Below are 22,855 nucleotides of genomic sequence, written 5' to 3'. Positions count from 1 at the left end.
CATATATGAGACCTTTACAGAAAAAGAAAAGAAAGACCAAAGAAATAAGCTTTTTTTTTTTTTTTTTTTTTTTTTTTGAGACGGAGTCTTGCTCGGTCGCCCAGGCTGGAGTGCAGTGGCACAATCTCAGCTCACTGCAAGCTCCGCTTCCCAGGTTCACGCCATTCTCCTGCCTCAGCCTCCCGAGTAGCTGGGACTACAGGTGCCCGCCACCACGCCTGGCTAATTTTTTGTATTTTTAGTAGAGACGGGGTTTTGCTGTGTTAGCCAGGATGGTCTGGATCTCCTGACCTCGTGATCCGCCTGCCTTGGCCTCCCAAAGTGCTGGGATTACAGGCGTGAGCCACCACGCCCGGCCCAGAAATTAGCTTTATCCACTTCCTGGGAGGTTAACTCTCCCGCTTCGGCCTCACAGAATCCAATGATCACTCACCAGATAGCAGAAATAGAGCATAGCTGAATGAATTTATGAAGTAAGGAAACTTATAAGTGACTTTTGTTGGGTCAGGTCCCTGACTCACTTTCAAAATTTGTGTATAGTGCATAAGTAAGGAGAAGAACACAAAAGTACTTGTCAACCCCAAAAAAGAAGGGAGAGATCAATCTGCTAATTAGCTTATCAATACTTAAAGATTTAACTGTAGTATTATGATCAGGGAACCAAATTATTTCATCACCTCCCCTCATTCTTCTTCTCCCTCCTTTCAGACCATTTTTTCTCCTAGCTTCTCCTTTTCCCTTGTACTCTCCTGAAAACTTTTTAAGAGGCTAATTAAGCCTCTTCCACCCTCACCCCAAGGCCAAGACATTCGGAATTTATTCCTGCCTCTCTTTACCTGTGACAATGCAGATGGATGCACAGAAAATATACTGTTTCTGGGTCTCAGGGAATAACTGAGGGAAGGTCAGCAACAAAAAGTTCAAGCAGAATGAGAGAAGGGCGCTAATCATAAAAATTCCACCCAGTATGAAGTAGGCTAAAGAGAGAGAGAGAGAGGGGTATAAGTTCTTTTCAGGGCTCTCTCTGGTTTCAGAGTCCCCCAGTTCTAAAGGTCACATAGTAAAGTTTGGTGGATGTCAGCAGGAAGAAGTAGTTGTGAGGGAAATGAGGGGAGGGAGCACTGAGGCTCAGGTTAGTAATGACATTTAGCCCTTCCTTTTTAAATCCAGGACTTACTTGGTTTGTGTTTGGGCATCCAACACATCGTCTTACCACTGCAGTCCATGAAAAGTGCACTGACAAGAACATTGGGATCTCCAGGTAGTTGTTTCTACCCAGGAAGAGACGAGGGAAGACCACCAAAGCAGTGTGGTAGCCGGGAAATTACAGATAAGGATCATGGCCCTGTTCAGTTTCTTCATCCACCACCCATGAAGAGGCATCGCCTAAGAAGTAAGTGGGGAAAAAGGGAGGAGTTTCTTTAAATTCTCCATATTTACTTCTCGCCCTTCAAAGACAATTCCTAATGATCCCTCGTTTCTAAAACTCTCTTAAGTCTTCCATTCAAGCCCCAATATCCTCTCTATAGTTTAACTCCTTATTCATTTAACAAATGCTTACTGCATGCCCATAATGTGTCATGCCTTAAGTTCTGTTATATTGTCTTTTAACTGACCCTAGTTATTATCCCCACCATTCTAGACTCCAGATTAACAGCACCTCCCCCAAATAAGTTTATCAGGCCCTTCCCCAGCTTGAAACTCCCCTAACTCCTTTTGATTACCTCTAAATATAATCCTTGGGGTAACATCCAAGCCCTTCCTTATTCTAGCCTCAGTCTATCTTTCCAGTTTTATTTGTCTGAGCATGGTGGTACACGCCTGTAATCCCAGCTACTCACGTGGCGGAGGCAGGAGAATCACTTGAACCCGGGAGGCAGAGGTTTCAGTGAGCTGAGATCGCGCCACTGCACTCTAGCCTGGGCGACAGAGCAAGACTCCATCTCAAAAAAATAAATAAATAAAATAAAATAAATAAATAATTTAAAAGTTTGTAAAGTAAAAGTTATAGTAAGCTAAGGTTAATTTACTATTGAAGAAAAATATTTTTTACAAATTTAGTGTAGCCTAAATGTAGTGTTTATAAAGTCTACAGTAGTGTACAGTATTGTCCTAGGTCTTCACATTCATTCACCACTCACTGACTCACCCAGAGCAACTTCCAGTCCTGCAAGCTCCATAAGTGTCCTATACAAGTATACTTTTTTTTGTTTGGAGATGGAGTTTTGCTCTATTGCCCAGGCTGGAGTGCAGTGGCATGATCTTGGCTCACTGCAACCTCCGCCTCCCAGGTTCAAGTGATTCTACTGCCTCAATCTCCCAAGTATCTGGGATTACAGGTGCCTGCCACCATACTGGCTAATTTTTTTGTATTTTAGTAAAGACGGAGTTTCACCATGTTGGCCAGGCTGGTTTCAAACTCCTGACCTCAAGTGATCCACCTGCCTTGGCCTCCCAAAGTGTTAGTATTACAGGTGTGAGCCACTGCACCCGGCCAGGTGTACCATTTTAAAAAATCTTTTATGTTGTATTTTTACTGTGCCTTTTCTATGTTTCGATATGTTTAGGTATACAAATATTATCATTGTGTTATAATTGCCTACAATACTCAGTACAGTAACATGCTGCACAGGTTTATAGCCTAGGAGCAATAGGTTATAGCAAACAGCCTAGGTGTGTAGTAGGCTGTATGATCTAGGTTTGTATAAGTGCACTCTGTGAGTCTGCACAAGGATGAAATCACCTAACAACACATTTCTCAGAATGTATCCCTGTCATTAAACAATGCACGACTATTTAAATATGATTAAATGCATATTTAATACTAACTTTTTACTTTTACTTATAAGTAGCAAGGGAAAGGAGTGAATTATAAAACCTTCCGTTATAAATTCATATACATTCAGGAGTCAAGATGTAAAATGTATTTATTACTGTGAGCTGAAGAAAAAGAAGTTGGAAAACATTACTCTAAATGTTGGCCACATGAGGGGGTTGCAAAGAAAGCGTGGAAAAGAAGATCACCAGATGAGAGAGGACTAGAGAATCTTATGATAGATTATTATGTGATTTTTGGCACGTAATATGGAAGTTAGAAAAATTAGAACTGCATTTCTATTTCAAAATTCCTTTCATTCCTATCTACTTGTGTGAACACAATTTCTCATATCCATAAGAATGACAAACAGACATAGAGCTGATTTTGACCTCTGGTCTCATTCTAGCAGTGAGGAATATTCTGCCATGGAAATACGAATAAGAAAATATTAGTCCCAACGTGCACAGTGGCTCACGCCTGTAATCCCTACACTTTGGGAGGCCGAGGCAGGCAGAGCACTTGAGCCCAGGAGTTCACGACCAGTTTGGGCAACATAATGAGATCCCCTGTCTCTATGAAAAATAAAAAAAAAACTTTAGCTTGGTGTGGTGGCATCTGCCTGTGGTCCCAGCTACTTGGGAGGCTGAGGCAGGAGAATTGCTTGAACCTGGGAGGCAGAGGTTGTAGTGAGCTAAGATTGTGCCACTGCATTCCATCCTGGGCAACAGAGTGAGATGGTCTCAAAAAAGAAGGAAAAAAAGAAAAATAGAGAAACAGAAAGAGAGGAAGGAAGGAAGCAAGGAAAGTAGGGAGGGAGGGAGGTAGGGAGGGAGATGTTTGGGGAGGGCAGATGGAAAAGAACAGAAAAGAAAGAAAGAGGCCAGGAGCGGTGGTTCATGCCTGTGATCCCAGCACTTTGGGAGGCCAAGGCAGGCAGATCACGAGGTCAGGAGATTGAGACCATCCTGGCCAAAATGGTGAAACCCCATCTCTACTAAAAATACAAAAAAATTAGCCGGGCATGGTGGCACGCACCTGTAGTCCCAACTACTCAGGAGGCTGAGGCAGGAGAATCGCTTGAATCTGGGAGGTAGAGGCTGCAGTGAGCCGAGATTGCGCCACTGCACTCCAGCCTGGGTGACATAGTGAGACTGTCTCAAAAAAAAAAAGAGAGAGAGAGAGAGGAATGGAAGAAGAATAAAAAGACTGAATTCAAGTAAAAAAGAGAAAGATGGCCGGGCTTGGTTTCTCATGCCTGTAGTCCCAGTACTTTGGAAGACCAAGGTGGGCAGATCACTTGAGGTCAGGAGTTCAAGACCAGCCTAGCCAACATGATGAAACGCCGTCTCTACTAAAAATACAAAAGTTAACTGGGCATGGTGGCGTACGCCTGTAATCCCAGCTACTTGGGAAGCTGAGGCAGGAGAATCACTTGAACCTGGGAAGTGGAAGTTGCAATGAGCCAAGATTGTGCCACTGCACTCCAGCCTGGGTGACACAGTGAGAGTCTGTCTCAAAAAAAAAAAAAAAAAGAGAGAAAAAGATGCAAAATATCTAATGTTAAAAAAAAAAGCTTGTTTTTTTTTTTAAATTGATGATAGATTTAAATCACTATGGTATTTAGAAACCACTGAATACATTTAGAGGAGTGATGGAATACATTTTAAAATGTCATAATTCACAATATACCAGAAATCACATTTTTTACAACTGTTTAAACTTATGATGTGAAATTTTTAGATGTCAACTTAAAAATGTAGAAGTGGATACATAATTTTTCAACAGGATATGCTTTCAAAGTTTGAAGACCACTGCTCTAAAGCAGTTCTTACATGTGATGAGCTTCAAGGAGTCAGTCTTGCTAGTTGTGTGACATTGGGCAAGTGACATAAATTCAGCTGTTTCCTTATCTGTAAAATGGGGATAATAACAATACCCTATCTCAGTAGCTGTCCAACTTTGGCATTCATCAAAATAGCATGGAGGGCTTTTTAAACAGACTGCTAGGTCCTCACCCCTAGAGTTTCTGATTCAGTGGGTCTAGGGCCAGGCCCTAAAATTTGTATTTCTAACAAGTTTCCAGGTGATGCTGATGTTGCTGGTCCAGGAACCACACTCTGAGAACCTTTGGCCTATCTCATAAGGTCACTGAGAAAATTTAAAACATTAGTAGATAAAATGCTTAAACTGTACTGGGACATAGCAGGTGCTAATATGTATTAGCCAATATCATCAATTAGGACTGCATTCACTGTAACAGAAAATTCCACTCCAGTGGATTAAACAGGAAGAAGTCCTATCTCATTTAATAAGAGGTCCCAAGGTAAATCATCCAGAGGTGGCACTACTGTCAAGAATGTCCCCAGCTCCTGTCTTCTTGCTCAATTGCCTTTGTCCCATGGCTTTCATCACGGATGTATGATAGCTGCTGTTCCTCCAGGAATTCTCTCTGCATTCCTGAGAGGCAGAAAGAAGGGCAAAAATGCACAGGGCAAAGAATTGATGGAGTGTTCCAGCCAAGTTGCTCCCTTTCAAAAAATGTTTCCCGAAAACCCTAAATGACGCTGACTTGAATCACAATGATCAGATCCAGGTCACATGTTACCCCAACTACAGAGAAATCAGAAAAAGAAAGAATTTTTAGTTCTCCAGCCACTGTGGTGAAGGAAATCAAAGAAGAATGCAGTTTGAGACAGATAATATATTTCACTTGCCTGAAGGGTACCCATGAACACCAAGAAACTCGTGCAAAATATCAAGTGTATGTGTATTTTTCTGAAGAGTCAGTCCACAGCTTTCATGAGATCCTTAGAGTCCAAAAACAAGGGCTTTCAAGCCCTAGTTTCTTGACTTGAGGGCCTAAATGTTTTCACAAAAAGGATGTCTGCTCCTTTTCATCCCCTCTGTCTGCCATCACGTCAAATAATAAAACCTGAGGGCATGGAACTCTCTTAATTGCTGTATCCTTTCCTTTTTTCTAAAAGAAGATTGTGAATTCATTGTAAATGCTGCTTATACTATTATATACTTGTCTATAATTTGTCCTAAAGTATATTCTTTGGTGTGTGTATTTTTTTTTTTTTTTTTTGAGACAAAGTCTCGCTCTGTCGCCCAGGCTGGAGTGCAGAGGCGCGATCTCGGCTCACTGCAAGCTCCGCCTCCCGGGTTCACGCCATTCTCCTGCCTCAGTCTCCCGAGTAGCTGGGACTACAGGCGCTCGCCACCACGTGCGGCTAATTTTTTGTATTTTTAGTAGAGACGGGGTTTCACCGTGTTAGCCGGGACGGTCTCGATCTCCTGACCTCGTGATCCGCCCCCCTTGGCCTCCCAAAGTGCTGGGATTACATGCATGAGCCACCGTGCCCGGCCTGGTGTGTGTAGGTTTTTAATGTGATTTCCCAAATAGATAATATACTTTTTTTTTTTTTTTTTTTTTTTTTTTTTGTGAGACAGAATCTTCCTCTGTCACCCAGGCTGGAGTGCAATCGCACCATAATGGCTCACTACAGCCTCAAATTCCTAGGCTCAAGCCAATCTCCCACCTCAGTAACCTGAGTAGCTGGGACTACAGGCATGTGCCAATATACATAGCTAAGTTCAATTTTTTTTGTAGAGATGAGGTTTCACTATGTTGACCAGGCTGGTCTTGAACTCCTGGGCTCAAGCGATCCTCCCACCCTGGACTCCCAAAGCATGTCCTTGTATGTTTTCGTCCTTTGTCATTTGCATAAAGTTGGGGAGCAAGGAACATTAACATCCGAAATAAGTTGCTGTGTCCTGAATTTCAGCCTGGCAATAATACTTGGAGATTTGTGTTCTCTGACTGAAGAAACCAGAAGGGTTTTTAAAGATGAGAGGCAGTAACTGGATTTATTCTGGGGTGTCTGAAAGACTGACTAATTCAGGAGTAAAACCTAAACACTGAAGGATTTGCATTCTTCAACATATGACTTTCACTTAATGGGAAGACGGAAGACTTATCAACAAAACTACTGGGATCATCTGGAATCTCACCCTGAAAACACTTAGATCAAAAGTACTAATTGTGAAGTATCAGCTGAACAGTGTATAAAACAGGTTGGAAATGAGTTCTAAAATTATTAAAATGTTAGAATTGAGAAAGTTTAAATCTATTTAAGAATAGCACATAGGTTTATATTCTGGGTAAAATGCATTTAGAAAGTTAACGTTTGCTACTCCTGACAGTAATGAGTCTGAGTTCGGTAGAAAGAGCCTTCCCATCTACAAATCAGCCAAGAGAATGTTCCACTGTGCAGAGAACAAGCGATTTACAAGAAATGGGGAATACTTTTTAAAATAACGAGCTAGGCTGGGCGCAGTGGCTCAAGCCTGTAATCCCAGCACTTTGGGAGGCCGAGGCGGGAGGGTTGCTTGAGCCCAGGAGTTCGAGACCAGCCTGGGCAACATGGTAAAACTCCATCTCTACTAAAAATACATACAAAAAAATAAAATGTAGCAGGGTGTGGTGGTGCATGTCTGTAATCCCAGCTCCTTAGGAGGCTGAGGTACAAGAATCACTTGAACCCAGGAGGTGGAGGTTGCAGTAAGCCAAGATCGTGCCACTGCACTCCAGCCTGCGGGACAGACTGAGACACTATCTCAAAGAAACAACAACAAAAAAGAAATAAAATAACAAGCTAAAAAACTTTAAAAAGTCAGTCTTTCAATAAAATTAATTTTTGTTTTGTCCCAACAATGTTATGTTTAACATAGTTTTGTACCACTTTTCACAGTGAATCATTTTTATTTTTTTAATATCTAACTCAAGCCCCAACTTTTTTTTGCAGTTGAGATAATCTGACTTTCAATCAGCAGATGTATTAGCTCCCTTATGTTGGCCTTAACCTCTTTATGGGTTAAGAAAATTTGGAAAAGGTAAATGGTCATTTCCAAGTTAGGCTCTCTGATGAGAAGAATTCCTGAAATTTGAAAATACGCTGATCAAGTTCAGAGTCTCAGCTTTTGGTGTCTGTGCCCTTTAAACATCAAAAAAGAGAAGTGTGACAAATTGATTTTGGGCGGCCATAAAACCATGTTAAATGTTAATATGAATAGTTTCCTTAAATATGGAATTCCCTGCTGTCAAATGGGATGTTAGAAACTGGTTAGAAATTAGTCATATTTGCAAGCTCCCTTACTAGCAGATATCATGGGTTGAACTGTGTTCCACCAAAATTCATACGTTGAAGTCCTAAAACTTGGTACCTCAGAATGTGACCCTTATTTGGAGACAGTGCCTTTAGAGAGTTACAGTGAGGTCAACTGAAAGTAGGTCATTAGAATGTGACCTAACCCATCCTAATATGGCCGGTGTCCTTTTAAAAAGGGAAAATTTGGATACAGACATACCAAGAGAGAATACAAGGTGAAGGGACATAGGAAAGAATGGCTATCTACAAGCCAAGCAGAGAAGCTGGAACAGATCTTTCCCTCATTGCCCTCAGAAGGAATCAACTCTACTGAAACCTTGATTTTGGATTTCTAGCCTCCAGAACTGTGAGACAAAGACACTTTTGTTGTTTAAGTCGCTCAGTTGTGATATTTTGTTACGGCAGCATTAATAAACTAGTACAGCAGGGATTCTCTGATGTTGTACAAGTTTTCTTTCACTCCTCCCATTCAAGCACTACTCTCTTCTTTCCCCATGCGAGGACACTGATGTACAAGAAAGGCTGAGCTGTAGCTGAAAAATTTCCCACTCTTTATGCCTATAAACTCTTTCCTAAATACGTGGCGTCTTTGATGTCAGAATCTCCCAAGTTTTAGCTTAACATAGAATGTGAGCCAAAGTGTTATATGCAACTTTCATTCTGTCATTGCTTAAAAGGAAGCTTCTAAGTCACAATATTTTCTTTCCCCTTCCTGCAGGCTGTGATTCTGTTTCACCCATGTGAACAAGGCAATCCTCAGGAGGTCCAAAAGCAGCTAGAAGAACATAGACCCCTGGAGAACTTTGTGGAGAAGGGCTTCTAGAAGTCTCTGGTTTGCCCTTCAACAGCACATTTATATGACAAAGAAAATTTTCTATCTTGCTTAATCATTGTTACTTGGTCTTTATGGTACTAATCAAATAAACATCCTAACTGAAAAAAATCAGAGTAGAATTAAGGACTGATAACTAAAGGGGGGCCAAAGTTTACACACACCTACCTAGATTATTCCGAGAGTCTTTTGACTGATTTTACTGTTTTTGGTCTTGTCCCTGTTCAATGCATTCTCCATATTATAACTATAATCTAAGACATAATCTGGTTATACTACCTGCCTATTAAGAAACCACTGCCTAGAGTTGAGTTGTATTGTCTAATAAAGTAGCCACTAAAATTCAGTAAAAATTCATTAGTACTAGCCACATTTCAAGTGGTTTTTTTTTTTTTTTTTGAGGCAGGGTCTATTTCTGTCTCCCAGACTGGAGTGCAGTGGCGCAAATACAGCTTACTGATGCCTCGACCTCCCAGGCTCAAGCGATCCTCCCACCTCAGCCTCCCAAGTAGCTGGGACTACAGGGGCATGCCACCATGCCTGATAATTTTTTTTGTATTTTTTGTGAAGACAGGGTTTCATCATTTTGTCCAGGCTAGTCTCAAACTCCTGAGGTCAAGGGATATGCCTGCCTCGGCCTCCAAAAGTGCTGGGATTACAGGCGTGAGCCACCATGCCCAGCCTCAAGAGTTTAATAGCCACATGTACATAGCGATTACTGTGTTGGACAACACAGATACAGGATAAAGTTCTATTGGACAGCATTGGGCTAGGAGAAGCATGTCCAAGCCACCCACATGTCCTGTAAAGCTTTCTCTCCAGACTTACCTGCTGTCGCCATAAACTTAGTCAAGGCCACCATGCTGTTTCTCAGCCCTGCATTTGTTCATAATGCTACTGCCAAGGAATTCTCTCTCCTCCACCTTGTCCACCTAGAAAACAATTCATTTTTTTTAAGTATTACCTTATTTACACACACACCCAAAAAACCCCAGAAGCATTGAGTAGTTCAAGAATTAATTTTGAATACATCTTCCCATTTATCTACTATCCCTACAAAGATTAGCAGATCCAGAGAAGGGTCTTCATTTTAAAAATAGAAGTTTTATAGCTTAACAAAAAAAACATAATCCAATTAAAAACTAGACAAAAAACTTGAATAGGCATTTCTCCAAAGATATGCAAATGCAAAGAGATACACGACATCACTAATCACTAGGGAAATGTAAATAAAAACCACAAAGAATACCACTTCACACCCACTAGGTCACCTACCTTTAAAAAAAAAAACCCAAGCAGAAAATAACAAATGTTGGCAAGGATGAAAACAAATTGGAATCCTTGTGCACTGTTGGTGAGAATGCAAAATAATATAGCTTCTATGGAAAACAGCATGGCAATTCCTCAAAAAATGAAAAATAGAATTACCATATAACCCAGTAATTCCTTTTCTGGGTATACTCTAAAGAATTGAAGGCATGTAGGCCAGGCACGGTGGCTCACGCCTGTAATCCCAGCACTTTGGGAGGCCGAGGAGATGGATCATGAAGTCAGGAGATCGAGACCATCCTGGCTAACACGGTGAAACCCCGTCTCTACTAAAAATACAAAAAATTAGCCGGGCGTGGTGGCGGGCACCTGTAGTCCCAGCTACTCGGGAGGCTGAGGCAGGAGAATGGCATGAACCCGGGAGGCGGAGCTTGTAGTGAGCCGAGATCGTGCCACTGCACTCCAGCCTGGGCGACAGAGCAAGACTCTGTCTCAAAAAAAAAAAAAAAAAAAAAAGAATTGAAGGCAGGATCTCAAAGAGATATTTATAAACCCCATGTTCATAGCAGCATTATTCACAATAACCAAAAGGTGAAAGCAACCCAAGTGACTATTGGCAGATGAATGGATAAACAAAATGTGGTATATACGTAGAGTGAAATATTATTCAACTCTAAAAAGTAAGGAAATTGACATGCTACAACATGAATGAAGCTAGAGAGCACTATGCTAAGTGAAACAAGCCAGTCACAAAAAGGCAAATACTGTATGATTCCATTTATTTGAGGTACCTAGAATAGTCAAATTCATAGACACAAAAAGCAGAATGGTGATGTCCAGAGGCTGAAGGGAGAGGGGAATGGGGAGTTATTTCTTAATAGGTATAGAGTTTCAGTTTTATAAGATGCAAAGAGTTTTGCAGCTAGATGGTAGTGATGGTTGCACAACAATGTGAATGTAACTAACAGTACTGAACTGAACACTTAAAAACAGTTAAGATAGGCTGGGAGCAGTGGCTCACACCTGTAATCCCTGCACTTTGGGAGGCCGAGGTGGGCGGACCCCGAGGTCAAGAGATCGAGACCATCCTGGCCAACATGGTGAAACCTCATCTCTACTAAAAATACAAAAAAAATTCGCTGGGCGTGGTGGCATGTGCCTGTAATCCCAGCTACATGGGAGGCTGAGGCAGGAGAATCGCTTGAACCCAGGAGGCAGAGATCGTGCCACTGCACTCCAGCCTGGCGACACAGCGAGACTCCATCTCAAAAAAACAAACAAACAAACAAAAAAATGATTAAGATGCTAAATGTTATGTGTATTTTATTACAATTGTTTTAAAAAGGTCCATATTTAAATCTCATTCCGAAAAAGGTAAGTCTTGAGCAAGCCCTGACTCTACCAGAACCCAGTTCACAACCACATCCTCAAACACCCAACGTTCTTTTTTTTTTTTTTTTTTGAAGAGACAGACTGGAGCACAGCGGCACAATCATAGCTCACTGTAACCTCGAACTCCTGGGCTGAAGCAACCTTCCACCTCAGCCTCTGGAGTATCTAGGACTATAGGTGCAAGCCATCACACTCCACTAATTTTTTTTTATTTTTTTAATTGAGGGAAAGAGGGATGGGGTGGGTGTTCTTGCTTTGTTGCCCAGGCTGGTCTCCAACTCCTGGCTTCAAATGATCCTCCCACCTCAGCCTCCCCTAAAGTGCTGGAATTAAAGGCATAAGCCACCAAGCCTGACCTATCCCATATTCTTAAAACGTACCCCATGATCCTGCTTTTCTAAAGAGAAGGCCACACATGCACAAAAATGCATGCAAGGAACGACCAGCCTGGCCAACATGGCCAAACTCCATCTCTACTAAAAATACAAAAATTAGCTGAGTATGGTGGCATGCGCCTATAGTCCCAGCTACTCGGGAGGCTGAGGCAGGAGAATCACTTAAATCCAGGAGGCAGAGGTTGTAGTGAGCTGAGATCGCAACACTGCACTCCAGCCTGGGTGACAGAGCGAGACTCCGTCTCAAAAAAGAAAAAAACAACAAGTATGAGAAGATTCATAAAAAGATGTTTATGCTTGTTTAAATAAGGCTGAAGAGAAATGGAAAGAAGGGTAAGTGTAAAGTGGCGGTTAAGAGAAAAGTCTGCTGGGCAAGAAACATCTCATTCATCTATAGAAGGGTCTTGCAATTCCTGAGTAGATGCATGTGACTAGTGGTGTGCTAGGCAGGGTCTAGCCCAAGTGAAGGAGATTGGGGCAGCTGCCATGAAGCAGGCAGATCCTGGAAAGGTGGGATATTACCTAGGACTCGACTCTGACATTTGCTACAGCATCACCTGGTCTCCTGATCTCCCTTTCTGAGCAAAGCAGGTCTATAAAAAGAGAAAGAAGTTATCAGGAATAACCTAGTGCTAGTTCTGCTCACCCAGGCCAACTCCCATAAAAGTCATTTCTGCACAATTCAGCTGCAAATAAACCTTCTCTCAATATATAAGCACCATCCAAATCCACCACCCGATACAAAGCAGAGTAAAGGCAAAATGCTCAACAAGGTGGCAGGACCAATATAAATTTAAACATGAATGGAAGAGTGGATATGTTTACAATATGTTAGCTCATCATACAACACACAAAAAAATTTTTCTTTTCTGAGACAGGGTCTTGCTCTGTCACCCCGTCTAGGCTCCGTCGCAGTCACAGCACACTGCAGCCTCAACCTCCTGGGCTCTAGCAATCCTCCCACTTCAGCCTCCTGGGTAGCTGAGACTACAGGCACACACCACCACGCCCGGCTAATTTTTTTTTCTTTTTTTTTGAGACGGAGTCTCGCACTGTCGTCCGGGTTGGAGGACCAATATAAATTTAAACATGAATGGAAAAGTGGATATGTTTACAATATGTTAGCTCATCATACAATACAAAAAAAATTGTTTTCTTTTCTGAGACAGGTCTTGCTCTGTCACCCCGTCTAGGCTCTGTCGCAGTCACAGCACACTGCAGCCTCAACCTCCTGGGCTCTAGCAATCCTCCCACTTCAGCCTCCTGGGTAGCTGAGACTACAGGCACACACCACCACACCCAGCTAATTTTTTTTCTTTTTTTTTGAGACCGAGTCTCGCACTGTCGTCCGGGTTGGAGTGCAATGGCGTGATCTCGGCTCACTGCAACCTCTGCCTCCCGGGTTCAAGCAGTTCTCCTGCCTCAGCCCCCCGAGTAGCTGGGATTACAGGCACCCGCCACCACGCCCGCCTAATCTTTTGTATTTTTAGTAGAGATGGGGTTTCGCTATATTGGCCAGACTGGTCTCGAACTCCTGACCTCGTGATCCGCCCGCCTCGGCCTCCCAAAGTGCTGGGATTACAGGCATGAGCCACCATGCCCGGCCGCCCAGCTAATTTTTAAATTTTTTTGTAGAGACAGGGTTTCGCCACGTTGCCCAGGCTGGTATCAAACTTCTGAGCTCAAATAATCCACCTGCCTTGGCCTTCCAGCGTTGGGATTACAAGTATAAACCATGGCACCCAGCTAAAATGTGATTGTTAATCTATGTTCATCTGACCTAAAGAAATGTGACACTTTAGGAAAAAACAGACATTAGCTATTTAATAAAACAAAATTTTTCTGTGTAATAGTGTTATATACAGGGAATGAAGGAAAAATATGTTTCTTCAGTTATATGTTTACTGTATATATATATGATTATGTGTGTATATATTTATATATAAAGCTATATATATAGTTAACTGTACATATATAATTGTGTGTGTGTATATATATGTGTATGTATATATGATACATACACACAGTTATTCACTGCATTGTTTGTGGTGGTGAAAGATTAGAAACAACCTAGTGTCTATCACCAGGAAATGAGTAAAGCCCAAGTGTTCATCACCAGGAAATGGCTTAAATATATTATGGTATATCCATATACAAATGAAGACACTGTATATTAATATAGAAATCTCTTAAGATAGAGTGTTGTGAAAAAAGTTGGAAAGTATGCCACCTAACAAATAAATAACAGTGAAAATAGCCGGGTGTGGTGGCTCACACCTGTAATCCCAGCACTTTGGGAGGCCAAGGTGGGCAGATCACCTGAGGTCAGGAGTTCAAGACCAGCCTGGCCAACATGGCGAAACCCAGTCTCTACTGAAAATACAAAAATTAGCTGGGCCCAGTGGTGCACGCCTGTGATCCCAGCTACTCAGGAGGCTGAGGCAGGAGAATCGCTTGATCTCTGGAGACAGAGGTTGCAGTGAGCCGAGACTGCACCACTGCCCTCCAGCCTGAGTAACACAGCCAGACAACCTCTCAAAAAAAAAAAAAAAATATTCTATCATTCTTTTTTTTGCAACAGCTTCCAGGAAGTCAGCTTTCTTCTCCTTTCACTAGCTTTTCTCTTCTTCCCTCTACCATAAGCACATACATACAAGATTACTTTCAATGTCAGTAAAAATATTCTTTTAAAAGCCATTTTTTTTTTTTTTTTTTGAGATGGAGTCTCGCTCTGTCACCCAGGCTGGAGTGCAGTGGCGCGATCTCGGCTCACTGCAAGCTCCGTCTCCTGGGTTCACAACATTCTCCTGCCTCAGCCTCCTGAGTAGCTGGGACTAAAGGCGCCCGCCACCACGCCCGGCTAATTTTTTGTATTTTTAATAGAGACAGCACTTTGGGAGGCCAAGGGGGGGCGGATCATGTGTTAGCCAGGATGGTCTCGATCTCCTGACCTCGTGATCCGCCCGCCTCGGCCTCCTAAAGTGCTGAGATTACAGGCGTGGGCCACCGCGCCCGGCAAAAGCCTATTTTGAAAGAGGTTTCTTATTTTCTTATTTTTTTTTTCTGAGACAGGGTCTCACTCTGTCACCCAGGCTGGAGTGCAGTGGCGCGATCTCGGCTCACTGCAACCTCCGCCTCCCGGGTTCAAGTGATTCTCCTGACTCAGCCTCCTGAGTACCTGGGATTACAGGTGCAGGCCACCATGCCTGGCTAATTTTTATGTTTTTAGTAGAGACGGGGTTTCACCATGTTAACCAGGATGGTCTCGAACTCCTGACCTCATGATCCGCCCCCACCTTGGCCTCCCAAAGTGCTGGGATTGCAGGCGTGAGCCACCGCCTGAAAGAGGTTTCTTTTAAGAGTCTGTTTTTACCAGCCAATGTCAACTTCCTTCCTCTCATGAACTCTACCCCTTCCTGGCTAGATTCTGATCATCCTGGTGTATTTGTCACAGACCCAAAATACAAATCTCTAGTCAACAGTATAGAGCTCTTCATGGCTTCCAAAACAAGGCATATTTCCTTCCTAGAATGTTCCTTCTCTGGAATCCCCGTGATTCACTCCTCATTCCTTAGTCTTTGCTTAAATAATGGTAAAGTCTTCCGCATTCATCCTATTTAAAACTCAACACCCATTCCTCACTCTACCCTACTCCATATTGCCCTTCTCTGATTTCTTTTTCTCCACAATACCATCACCTGAGAAACTGTATTTTCCTCTAGAATAAACTCCACAAATATGGAGATGCTTGTCTTAAATGAATAAAGCCATGTCTATTCAAAACCAATTAGTCAAAATTAGTATCATATTCTTGGTTACTATTTTTTCATAAACTGTCAATTTGGTGTAACCTGGTTCTCATATCCCATTCCCCTTTTCTAGACATTCCTTTAATCAACATACTACTGAAGCTTTCCTTTTCTTTGTAATAATTTTAAAAACCCAGGTCTTTGTGATTGCAATGCTTGCTAGAGGCATCATGCAGGAAATGGCAGAAAACGGGTCCTCTTATATGCTGAACCAATAGTTCATGGAATGGTTGTGGGGGGGTCACAGATCTTGTAATCTGAAGTGCCCCATTGACTAAAAAGTAAAAAACACATGGCTGGGCGCGGTAGCTCACACCTGTAATCCCAGCACTTTGGAAGGCCGAGGTGGATGGATCACCTGAGGTCAAGAGTTCGAGACCAGTATGGCCAACATGGTGAAACCCCGTCTCTACTTAAAATACAAAAAATTAGCTGGGCGTGGTGGTACACACCTGTAATCCCAGTTACTCAGGAGGCTGAGGCAGGAGAATCGCTTGAACCTGGGAGGCAGAGGTTACGGTGAGCCAAGATCGCGCCATTGTACTCCAGATTGGGAGACAAGAGCGAGACTTCATCTCAAAAAAAAAAAAAAAAAAAAAAAGTATAAAACACAGGCTTTTATGTTATACAGACATGAATGAAAATCCTTGGTTCTGTCACTTACTAGTTGTGGGATGTTGGACTTATTACCAGGTTAAATCCTCTAAGCCTCAGCTTTACTGTGGTTAAATGGATATAAAAATATCCAATCTCTCTAACAGAGTTGTGAGGATTAAATAACAAAATTTGTAAACCTATTTAATAGTACTGGGCATACAACTCCTCAATAAATGTTATTACAATCACTGCGACAGAACAAAGATCACTGGAGGAATATTTCCAAATCGTTAGAGGTTTTAAGATCATCACAACTGTAATCCCAGCACTATGGGAAGCCGAGATGTGTGGATCACTTGAGGTCAGGAGTTCGAGACCAGCCTGGCCAACATGGGGAAACCTCGGCTCTACTAAGTAGCTGGGCGTTGTGGCACACACCTGAAATCCTAACTACTTGGGAGGCTGAGGCAGGAGAATCGCTTGAACCCGGGAAGCAGAGGATGCAGTGAGCCAAGTTGGCACCACTTCACTCCAGCCTGAGTGACAGAGCTAGACACCATCTCAAAAAAGGAGCACCACTGAACTTTGTAACATTAACTGACAGAAAAGACACTAGACACTAGAATTCTATGAGCCCCCAGCAGTGTCAGAAAATCCTCTTACATGTATTTTGTTTTTTGTTGAAGAAAAAAAACTTAAACAGAGAAATATTGCTAGATTTCTTAGATTAGATAAGGATAAAATGAGAACTATCTTATTCTACTCGTTCCTTGTATTATTCAAGATTCAGTACCCTGCTGGTAAGTTTCATTCAGCGAATCCAGCACACATGAATTAAATGCTAGTTAAGGTACAATGTCTCCAACAGGCACGATGTCAGAATAATGGTTTCTGTCCATCAGAACAAAGGATGAGATGCGCCTCTTGGATTTGACTGTAGCCCAATGGTCATCATCGCTGGCTGCACATTAACATTATCCAGGAAATTTTAAAGCTCTATAGGTGATTCTAAGGAAGAGGAGGACTGAGAGGCCGACTGTTAAGATGCACTGCTACTGTCCGATGAGCACACACTCATCCATAACGTTACACATTTCCTATTCACCTGATGCCCAGAATCATCAAACAGTGTATTCAACACAGTCACGCCATTTCTGTTTTCCAGGTGACTATCCTCCACAAGATACTGTTATCCAGAGCAGGTAAACTCCCTAGCATCTGTCGCTCAAGAACTTAAATCCCTCCCTGCACCCAACCCATCAACAGTGACTTATTACCATCCACAAGCCAGGCTGCTTCCCGATGCACCTTTTCTCCTGGGGAGTGCCCAGACGAGCGCCATCTGCTCCTGGGTCAGAGGAGTCCCTGCAGAGTCATCGACTTCCTCATTTCCAAAAGCCCCATAGGTTGCACTGGAGTCCCGAGGCGAAGCGCCGACACTTCATCTGCCCGTCACCTCCCGATTTTTGCAATGTGTTTCTTCTGAACAAGAATGTGTGCCCTGGAAGCCAACTCAAGTCCCAGACCTAGGTTTCTCGACATTTCCCCAAGTCCCACCTGCGTCAGGTTGTAGGCTCCGGGGCCAGTCCCTTTCGATCCGCATCAAAAAACCTGGCGATCCCCTTTGGGCACAAGAGCTCAGGGCGTTGGTCCCCGCGATCGCGGAAGCCCACTTCCAGAAAAACTCGACCACTAACAGTAAGCTTCAGGGGTAGCAAAAAGGGGCAGAAGGGTTTGCATCCCCTGGCGTCATTTCCGGGTCCGCTCTGGAAACCTCGGAGGTTTCCGTGTCTCTGTCGTTTATTCCAACTGTTAATGCTCCATGTGCCTTTGACTCTCCTCACCTTCCCTTCTAAACACACGGGGAAGAAAGGTTCAGGTTTCCCAGAGAAATTGTGGGGAAAAACCTTTAAAGTATATATACAAAGGTAGACAGAATAGTACAGTGCATCCAATGTACCTGACACACCTTCAAGAATTACTAACTCGGCCGGGCGCGGTGGCTCACGCCTGTAATCCCAACACTTTGGGAGGCCGAGACGGGCGGATCACAAGGTCAGGAGTTCGAAACCAACCTGGCCAACATAGTAAAACCTCGTCTGTACTAAAAATACAAAAAACTAGTTGGGCGTGGTGGCGGGCGCCTGTAATCCTAGCTACTCGGGAGACTGAGGCAGGAGAATCGCTTGAACCTTGGAGGCGGAGGTTGCAGCGAGCCGAGATGACACCACTGCACACCAGCCCGCGCGACAGTGCAAGACTCCTCTCAAAAAAAAAAAAAAAAAAAAAAAAAAAAGAAGAAGAAGGCCTGGCGCGGTGGCTCACGCCTGTAATCCCAGCACTTTGGGAGGCCGAGGTGGGCGGATCACCTGAGGTTGGGAGTTTGAGACCAGCCTGACCAAAATGGAGAAACCTTGTTTCTACTAAAAATAAAAAGAATTAGCCGGATGTGGTGGTGCATGCCTGCAATCCCAGCTACTAGGGAGGCTGAGGCAGGAGAATCGCTTAAACCCAGGAGGCGGAGGTTGTGATTAGCCGAGATAGCGCCATTGCACTCCAGCCTGGGCAACAACAGCGAAACTGCGCCTCAAAAAAAAAAAAAAAAGAAAGAAAACAAGATGAAAGAAAAGAAATACCAACTCGTGGCAATTTTATTAATCTATAAACCACTCCTCCCCTTATGTGGTTGGAAGCAAATCTTTTTAATTTTTTTTTTTTTTTGACGGAATCTTGCTCTGTCGCCCAGGCTAGAGTGCAGTGGCGCGACCTCGGCTCACTGCAACCTCCACCTCCCGTGTTCAAGCGATTCTCCTGCCTCAGCCTCCTCAGCCTCCCGAGTAGCTGGGATTACAGGCACCCACCACCGCACCTGGCTAATTTTTGTATTTTTAGTAGAGACGAGGTTTCACCACCTTGGCCAGGCTGGTCTCAAACTCCTGACCTCGTGATCCACCCGCCTCGGCCTCCCAAAGTGCTGGGATTACAGGCATGAGCCACCAAGGCCGGGCCACTCCACTTTTCCTTAAAGCAAAACCTGTCATTCTTCTGTTTCTTACCTCTTAGTTTCTTAGTCCTTTTTTTCCTATTAGCCCTATTTGTATTTATTTGTTATTAATGCACTATGACTAATAAAAACTTGCCTAGGGTCAGAAACTTTGAGCTTTAGCAGAAACAAAAACATACAAACAAAAACTCAGAAAGTTTTTTCAGATAAAGTTTTGTTTTTCAAGTACAATTAAGAGCATGATTCTGCTCAGGCGTGGTGGCTCGCGCCTGTAATCCCAGCACTCTGGGAGGCCGAGGCAGGCAGATCACTTGAGGTCACGACTTCGAGACCAGCCTGGCCAACATGGTGAAACCCCAACTCTACTAAAAATACAAAAACTAGCTGAGTGTGGTAGCGGGTGCCTGTAATCCTAGCTACTGGAGAGGCTGACGCAAGAGAATCTCTTGAACCAAGATAGCGGAGGTTGCGGTGAGCTGAGATCCCACCACTGCACTCCAGCCTGGACAACAGAGCAAGACTCCATCTCAAAAAACAAAAAACAAAAAACAAAAAAAAAAAAGAAAGAAAGAAAAGGGAAAAAAGCATGATTCTGAACAGTTTGGTCATTTTAGAAACTTTTGGGATAAATCTGAATACTCAGAGTTTTCTCTGGCCATAAAATAGAAGATAGGAAAAATGTAAATTTTTATTCATATGGAGAGAAAAGTCACAGTTGTCCCTGTATTATCTTTAAGAAAGCTCCTGTTCTTAATTCTCTAACTAACTGTAATAATATCTCGAAGGACTATCTGTAAAACAAAAGGAAACAACCACCTGTTAAATTCAGAATTCCAAAACATGTAGTTGTATCTCCTGTGTAATATAAACATCCATCTCATGGCCTTGCTTATTAATCATTCTTTAAAAATTATATATAAATTGGTTCTATGACCACTGTAAAAGTACCTGCATTTTGTTTGTTACATAGAAAAGTTTAAGGTTCAATGTAATCTTTAAGGGACCTAAATTGGCATAATAATATTTTCATAATTGGGAGGAGGGGTTATGACTTTCCTTCAATGCATGGGGAAAAACCACTTTGCTGCTTGTGGCAGCAGTATTAACTATAGTTGTAAGATTAGACAGCTTAAGGGTAATACCAACACCAGATGTGGTAGAACAGTGCCAATCACAGAGAAAGAGTCAGAGTACCTCTGTAGTTCCTGTCACGTGAGATGTATTTCTGTCCTAAGCCAATTGGATTATTCTTCCTTTTTCCCATTTTTATTTTTTATTTCGCAGCTGAATGATACATTCTAATGCAACATCCTTAACACTTACCAAGTTCTCAATTAAATCTATTCTGCATGATCCCCTCCTGTCTGGTAAATCTGGTAAATCTTCTCTGAGTCCTTTAGCTTCCTGCTCCCGTATGGATTAGTTGCATTCTAGGTTTCTTGAATAGCTGTCATCCTGTGTTTTTCATTTTTGAGCTCCTAGATCAGATTCATCATTTCCTGAGTTCCATGTCTTTCTCTGTCTTCCCCCCTATTTTCCCTGTAGTATATATATTCAGTTTGCGTCTTAAAATGTAGGTCAGCTTTTTGAGTCATGATAGGTTTATAAATGTCTTTATTCCAACTTCACATTTGATGTTACACATAGCTATAGAATTCTGTATTAAAACATTTTTCCTCCAGATTTTGAGGCATTATTTTGTTTTCTCCTAACATTCATTCGAGGTTGCTGATGAGACGTCTGATGCAGAAAGAGTATCTTTCTCTTGCCCACCACCATTACCTCTGAAAGCTGTTAGAATCTGATGTCGTTTGCTTTCAGTCTTATTCCACCGTGAGCAGGTCTATACAAGTCTACTCCTAAAGGCTGAGGAAGCTGAGAGGCCAAAGAAAGAGGCTGACAAATTCAGTTTCTCAGAAAGAAACATTTAATAACAGAAGCCATGTCTTGAGTGGTAGCAAGACAAGATGATGGATCCCCACATTGTCACCAGCCAAACCCAGGGCTTATGAACCACAGGGAATTTGCCTAAGGGCAGGATTTTTTTTTTTCTTTTCTTTTGAGACGGTCTCCTTCTGTCGCCCAGGCTGGAATGGCCAGATCTTGGCTCACTGCAACCTCTGCCTCCCAGGTCAAGCGATTCTCTTTCCTCAGCCTCTGGAGTAGCTGGGACTATAGGCACGCCCCACCATGCCCAACTAATTTTTGTGTTTTTGGTAGAGATGGCATTTCACCATGTTGGCCAGGCAGGTCTCAAACTCTGGACCTCAAGTAATCTGCCCACCTCGGCCTCCCAAAGTGTTGGGATTATAGGCATGACATACCGCGCCTAGCCTAAGGGCAGGATTTGTGTATGGTAAGTATGTGGTTACAATAACACCAAGGTTGTTTTCACCTAATTGCAGGATTTATTGTACCTCAAAGTAGAAATCTTAGAGGCATTCCCAGAACTGGGGTTAATCAGAAGTCAATATGGTGGGTTACCATCCAAGATGGAGTGGCTTTCAGCTGGGCACAGTTGCAGTTGGCCAAGATCATGCCACTGCACTCCAGCCTGGGCAATAGAGCTACAGTGTCTAAAAAAAATCTATATCTATATCTATATATATATATACACACACACACACACACACATATGCACACACACACATATATACATATATAATATTCATGCACACACATATTTTTGTACTCTAGTTTGTTACTTAACATTATTTCCTTCATATCTTTTCACTAGAGACAGCGGATTGCCACACCGAAGAGTGAGAGATCAATAAATGTTTGTTGAAATTATATATAATTTCCTTTGATTATTGTACAGCTTGGGAGCCCATATTCAAACCTCTTTGATGATCATATGGTCTAGGAAAGAAAGTGCTTTGTTCACCTTATAAGAGAAAATTAAGGGTATCGTCTTCACCACCCTCTTTCCTACGATGAAAAAGCCTGTACTTTGTACAGTGGACAAGAAGTATCTATATTCAATTCCTGGCTAGTAGGATCAACTCATTTGAAAATAAGCTGATTTTTTTTTTTTTTCAGATGGAGTCTCGCTCTGTCGCCTAGGCTGGAATGCAGTGGCATGATCTTGGCTCACTGGAGCCTCGGCCTCCCTGGTTCAAGCAATTCTCCTGCCTCAGCCTCCCGAGTAGCTGGGACTACAGGCGCGTGCTGCCACACCCGGTTAATTTTTGTATTTTTAGTAGAGACAGGGTTTCACCATGTTGGCTGGATGGTCTTTATCTCCTGACCTCGTGATCCACCCGCCTAGGCCTCCCAAATAAGCTCTGCTTTTAACAGTGTACAAAGTTGAAAAGTGCAATTTAAAACATCTAAGATACATTAAGAAAAAGTGTAAATGCAGAACAACGAGTAAATAACTAAGCTCTCTTTTGTGTGAAAAAGAAGAAAAAATAATCAATATAAATGCAGTATTTAAATAAAGAAACCCAGTAGGGATATATGAGAAATTAAGGACAGAGTTTACCTATAGTAGGTGGTGGTGAGAATTGAGCTGATGAAGAATAAAAATGGAAGGAAAGGCCAGGCAGCGTGGCTCACGCCTGTA

The 22,855-nt window shown here is 42.6% G+C and overlaps 2 long non-coding RNA genes across 4 annotated transcripts; one reads left to right on the top strand and one right to left on the bottom strand.

Moving 5' to 3' along the window:
- The first annotated feature begins 1,170 nt into the window (after window positions 1–1,170).
- Window positions 1,171–8,932, top strand: LOC124901291 (uncharacterized). Its single transcript, XR_007059534.1, has 2 exons — window positions 1,171–1,393; window positions 8,708–8,932. It is a non-coding gene; the product is annotated as an uncharacterized LOC124901291 (long non-coding RNA).
- Window positions 1,845–18,032, bottom strand: LINC01012 (long intergenic non-protein coding RNA 1012). Of its 3 annotated transcripts, NR_038294.1 has the most exons (4): window positions 17,561–18,032; window positions 9,650–9,753; window positions 4,651–4,728; window positions 1,845–1,943 (listed from the first exon to the last, which is right to left on the bottom strand). It is a non-coding gene; the product is annotated as a long intergenic non-protein coding RNA 1012 (long non-coding RNA). The 3 variants fall into 3 exon arrangements; NR_038293.1 differs by lacking the exon at window positions 4,651–4,728; NR_038292.1 differs by lacking the exon at window positions 1,845–1,943 and having other exon boundaries at window positions 2,910–5,428; window positions 17,841–17,988.
- Between the last annotated feature and the right edge of the window lie 4,823 nt (window positions 18,033–22,855).

The sequence above is a fragment of the Homo sapiens genome, chromosome 6, assembly GCF_000001405.40.
Source record: "Homo sapiens chromosome 6, GRCh38.p14 Primary Assembly".
NCBI classification, from domain to species: domain Eukaryota; kingdom Metazoa; phylum Chordata; class Mammalia; order Primates; family Hominidae; genus Homo; species Homo sapiens.
The sequence above is the reverse complement of the archived record's forward strand: the minus strand, read 5'-3'. Positions and strand labels throughout refer to the sequence as shown.